This window comes from Homo sapiens, chromosome 2 (assembly GCF_000001405.40).
Source record: "Homo sapiens chromosome 2, GRCh38.p14 Primary Assembly".
In the NCBI taxonomy this organism is placed as follows: domain Eukaryota; kingdom Metazoa; phylum Chordata; class Mammalia; order Primates; family Hominidae; genus Homo; species Homo sapiens.
Window position 1 is genome coordinate 169,446,296 of NC_000002.12, and position 5,847 is coordinate 169,452,142.

General features: G+C 40.1%; 1 annotated feature.

Annotated features, from left to right (window-relative positions):
- Window positions 5,257–5,412: a silencer, noted in NCBI's record as "fragment chr2:170308062-170308217 (GRCh37/hg19 assembly coordinates)". NCBI's record gives its function as "represses an EF-1alpha promoter that drives an FKBP-Casp9 reporter gene in an ReSE screen in phorbol 12-myristate 13-acetate-treated (for megakaryocytic differentiation) K562 erythroleukemia cells {active_cell/tissue: K562(+PMA)}" and the evidence as "EXISTENCE:reporter gene assay evidence [ECO:0000049][PMID:32094911]".

Here is a 5,847-nt window from a genome sequence, read left to right on the forward strand (position 1 = left end):
ATCTAACATCTTCAGCAATTAGGGAAATGTCGATTAAAACCAGGATGAAATATCACTAAACTCCTAGCTAAAATAAAAATTACTGACAATACCAGGTGCTGACAAGGATGCAGAACAACTAGAACAATCATGTGTTGCTGGTGGAAATTCAAAAACAGCTACTCTGAAAAATCATTTGACAATTTTTTATAAAGTTAGATATAGCCCAACAATTTCACTTCTAAGTATTTACTTTAGAGAAATGAAGACATATTCACACAAAAACTTGTACTTGACCATTTTTAGCAGTTGTATTTATAATTGCCCAAAATTGGAAACAGCTAAATGTCCTTAAACTGGTGAATGGGTAAATAAACTCTGGTACATCTACACAATGGAATACTACTCAACAATAAAAAGGAACAAACTACTGATACATGCCACAAATTGAATGAATCATAAAGGCACTATGCTGAGTAAAAGAAGCCAGTTTCACAAGGTTACTGTGATACAGTGAGAAATACATATTTGGTCTTTGTCCCTGGTTCCTGACACAGAGCTCCTAAAACTTCCTGAGTGATGGGGATGATAGGAATGTCTTTTGTCGTTCATAACAAGCCCCTTTCCACCATATTTGAGTTTATATTAATAAAGTGACTTAGTGGGCTCCTAGATAGCTTCAGGATGGGGACTGGTTGCTAGAGGAACCAATTACGTGATTACATGGTTGGGACTTTCGGCCCCATCCCCAGACCTCTAGGGAGGGGAAAGGGAATGGAGACTGAGTTAATCACCAATGGCCAATGATTTAATCGATTTTGCTTATGTTTATAGATGGAACCTCCATAAAAACACTCAACAATGGGGTTCTGAGAGCCTCCAGGTTAGTGAACACATTGAGGTGCTGGAAGGGGTGGTGCACCTGAGAGGGCCTGGAAGCTCTGCACCCCTTTGCCCTTACCACACCCCGCACATCTCTCCCATGTGGCTGATCCTGAGTTGTATCCTTTATAATAAACTGGCAACAGTAAGTAGAGCACTTTCCTGAGTTCTGTGAGCCATTCTAGCAAATTATTGAACGTGAAGAGGGGGTTTTGGGAACTCACTGACTTTATCCTCTGTCAGCCTTAAGTATGGGTGGCCCAGAGCAGAGGCTGTCTTGTGATATTACACCCTTAATGAGTAGAATCTTTTCCAACTCCAAGCATCAGTGCCTGAAGTGAATTTTAGAACACCGAGTTGGTGTCCAGAAAGTTGGGGAATTGGTTAGTGTGAGAAAAAAAAAATGCACATTAGATGTCAGAAGTGTTGTGAGTAAAAACAATTGAGAATTACATTCTGAATGATTCCATTTATGTAACATTCATGAAAAGACAAACTTTTAGTAATAGAAAACAGATTTGTAGATTCCAGGGCTAGGGGGTCCCAGGAGGCTATGACAGCAAATGTGTAGCGGGAGGGAGGTTTTTGGAGTGATGGCACTGTTCTAGGTCCTGATTACGGCAGTAGTTACACAAATCTATACATGTGTTAAGACTCATAGAATTGCACACTAAAAATGTCCCTTTTACTATATGTTAATTTTTTAACTATGTAAATATTTTAAAGATAGGACAGTTTTTGTTGAATACAGCTCAGCCGTGCCAAAAGTATGACTTAACCATCAAAAGAAACAGCTTGAGATGCATTAATGGAAGTATTCAATCCAGAACAAACAAAGCTACAGACCCACTGGACTCTAAAGTAGCCAGACTGCATCTATAATATTGTGTTTTATTTGGGACATTGATAAAAATCAACAGCATCTAAAGGAAGGTGACCAAGATGATTAGAGGATGATAGAAAGGATTAGGACTATTTAGCCTGGAGAAGAGAAGGAATGACATGGTAACTCTCCTACTATATTAGAAAAATGTCCAAGTAGTTTACTGAGGCCTATTCTGTGTTACTCTTGAGGGAAAAAACTGTGTCCCCCAGGGAGTAGTTACAAGAAGGCAGATCTCAAACCACTATACAGGAAAGCTTTCTATCAAGTTGAGAATAAATAAAACGACCTGCCTAGATAAGCAGTGAGCCTCTCGTCATTGGCTGGAAATCACTGAAAATGTTCAAGCAGACGTTAAATAACCATCTATCAAGGTTATTGTCAAAGGGATTACTTCACTGAGTAGGAGAATGATCTATTTAACCTCTAAGGTCTCCTGCAACTCCATCTCCTGTATTCTGTTATAAATGATGCTCTAAATCACCCTTACCCTATGTGTATCTCCAACTCCCTACACCTCATTACAGTGTATACAGGGCTCACAAAATCCCCATGGACTCCTGCTAACACTGACTGTCTTAAGACAGCCTTCATGGCTGCTTTAATGATTTCCAGCCAGCAATGGGGGAGAAGATATGCTGAAGAACATGGGAAAAAAACTAAAATTTCTGTAGAGAATGGATAGATAACTTTTAACCAGGATATATAGAAAATTTTTGACTCTGCTCTGTTTGATAAGTTATTGTATCAGATCCAAAATGAACTACTACGAGCCTTAAGACCTATTTCGACTTCCCTGTTCTGGCCCCTGCTCTAGTCTAGACGAGGAAACTGGGAAGCCCCATGTCCTGAAAGTTACCATATGCAAAATAATTCCCATATTCTTTCCTACTCTTTTCAGTTCTTTAAATATCACTCTTTATATTTTCCTCTCTAGTTTTCTCAGTGAATTATCTAGGCCCGGATCTTTCAAAAGTCTAACTACAAATTAGGATGAGAGGGACTAGTTAAGGTTACAGTGGACTGGATCAGGGCAGGCAAGAGGGTTAGCTTCAAGCTAACAAAAATTGGAACAAGGGGATGGCTGTGGAGATTAGTTTTCTCTGGCAGGACATGAGTCAGGGAAACTGATAAGGATTTGGATATCTGAATTTGGAAGGGCAATATTTAAAGCAGTTGATCAGGCACAGGATAGACATGATTTCAATCAGAGGTTCTGTGTCACCCCAATGCTTCTAAGAGAGATGAGTTGAACTGCCCACGTCCATGACCATCATGATGCCTTTCCGCATCAGAGCCCATGGGCCTACCTGGTTGACCCCATCCTCTTGTTGAAATTCGATTACAAATTATTTATATCATCAGATGCAACTTTACTCTTTTCAGGGTGTTAATGAAGTTATTATAGTTCCCTTTATCAAGTCCATTATTGAATTTAAGTCTGTTTGGCAGACAAAAGTAGTCTATGATATTAGAAGTCAGATTACTTATTGCAGCAGGTAATCACTGCAAGCTAGCATAGGAGGTTTCTGGAGTGTTGGTCATGTATCTTGATCTAGCTGCATTCAATTTGAAAATTCTGGTTTTTATGGTTTTTACACTTTTCTGTATTTACGTTATGCTTCAATAAAAATGTTCCAAAGATAAGAAAAAGCCGGGCTGGGCACGGTGGCTCACACCTGTAATCCCATCACTTTGTGAGGCCGAGGCGGGTGGATCACCTGAGGTCAGGAGTTCAAGACCAGCCTGGCCAACATAGTGAAACCCCGTCTCTACTAAAAAAAAGAAAATACAAATATTCAGCTGGGCATGGTGGCAGGTGCCTGTAATCCCAGCTACAATGGAGGCTGAGGCTGGAGAATTTCTTGAACCCGGGAGGCGGAGGTTGCAGTGAGCCGAGGTCATGCTACTGCACTCCAGCCTGGGCAACAAGAGCGAAACTCTGTCTCAAAAAAAAAAAGAAAAAAAAGAAAAAAGTAAAAGCCTTGGGCAGAGGCCTCCTGACACCATCTAGGTAGTGGGCAGCCAGCAATGCAATATGTAGACCTCAGCCTTCTTTCTTTCTTTTCCTGTGTGTGTGCACATCTCACACCAGCTCATTCAAATCTACACACACCCAGATACAAACAAGATCTGTTCAGAGGCTGGAGAAGCCAGAAAGGATGCTCCAAAGGGATATATCTGCCTTCTCTTCCCAACTCTGACCCAGGTGAGAATCCAGGGGTTGGCAGATGCCATGCTATAGAACAGGATTTAATATTCTGTTCCTCAGTGTTAGAAAGGCCGTCCTCATTCTCTCAGGAGAAATCCAGGTCCTCTGAGGTAGAGAAATAAGGCAACTTTAAACATCAGTTAACTAATAATACATATGTGTATATCTAGCAAAAAGGAAAGAATACATTAAAATGTCAACAGTTACTTCTGCTGAGTGATAGGATTAATTGAATTTTTTCTTTAGACTTTTCTCATTTCACTTTTATGTTTTGTATGTGATCATGTATTGTTTTAAAAAACATATAAGTGCTATAGTTAAAATTCTTTTTTTGTTTGTTTGGTTCTTTTTTTTGAGACAGAGTCTTGATCTATCGCCTAGGCTGGAGTGCAGTGGCGCGATCTCAGCTCACTTCAACCTCCACCTCCGGGTTCAAACAATTCTCCTGCCTCAGCCTCCTGAGTAGCTGGGATTACAGGCATGTGCCACCATGCCTGCCAATTTTCGTATTTTTGGTAGAGACGGGGTTTCAGTATGTTGGCCAGGCTGGTCTCGAACTCCTGACCTTGTGATCTGCCCGCCTCAGCCTCCCAAAGTGTTGGGATTATGGGCATGAGCCACTGTGCCCGGCTATAGTTAAAATTCTTATGTTCGTATAGGCCATTATTATTTTCAAACATAAGCATAAATTTTCCCAGTGGATTCTTTGTATACTTTGAATACAAGTTCTTTATCATATGTGTTTTGCAAATATTTTTTCTTAGTCTGTGTCTTGTCTTTCCATACTCTAAACAGTATCTTTTGCAGAGCAGAAGTTTTAAATTTTAATAAAATCCCACAAACCACTTTTTTCTTTCATGGATTGTACTTTTGGTGTTGCATCGAAAAACTCATCCCTACCAATTGATTCTCTGATATTATTCTCTGATATAATTGTGTTTATATCAGAGAAATAATTCTCTGATATTACTTATCTCCATTTTGCAGATGAAAAAACCAAGACTCAAAGATTAACTAACTTGACTTAGCTCAGACCTGCAGCAAGTAATAGATTTGGGACTGATTTATATTCCATTGCTTTTTCCACTATATGATGTTGCAATGCTATCTGATCCTATTATTCTTGCTTTTGTTTTCTTTGCTTTTCTTTCGTTTTTTCTTTTCTCTTTTAAAGTTGTTTTTGGCTGAGTGTGGTGGCTCAAGCCTATCATCTCAGCACTTTGGGAGGCCGAGGCAGGTGGATCACCTGAGGTCAGGTGTTCAAGACCAGCCTGGCCAACATGGCGAAATCCCATCTCTACTAAAAATACAAAAAAATTAGCCAAAATACAAAAAATTAGCCCAGCATGGTGACGGTGCCTGTAGTCCCAGCTACTCGGGAGGCTGAGACTGGAGAATCGCTTGAACCTGGGAGTCAGAGGTTGCAGTGAGCCGAGATTGCGCCACTGCACTCTAGCCTGGGTGACAGAGCGAGACTTAAGTGCTGGGATTACAGGCGTGAGCCACCATGCCCAGCCACAAAGTTGTTTTTAACATAGGATGAGCATGGTTTGCTAGAAGAAATGGCAGCTTCCAGAGAAAAAGACATTGATGAAGCTAATCCAAAGTCTATCATAACGGCATTGTTAGAAACATGCTCTAAGGTAGCAATGCTAAGGATTGTGAGAGTCCGGGGAACCAGAGGAGCATGTTATAAAAACAAGAGCTCGTTTCCCTAGACATACACATACACACAACATTTTCCATACAATTTTAGGGGTTCTGAATGTGATGGCTGCTCTTCGACACAAAATATATGCAGAATTAATTCCCCAGGTTATCTAGGGAAAATATAAAATAATGTAAGAAAATAATACCTATAAAAGCAACATCATAATTCCTGTAAATAATG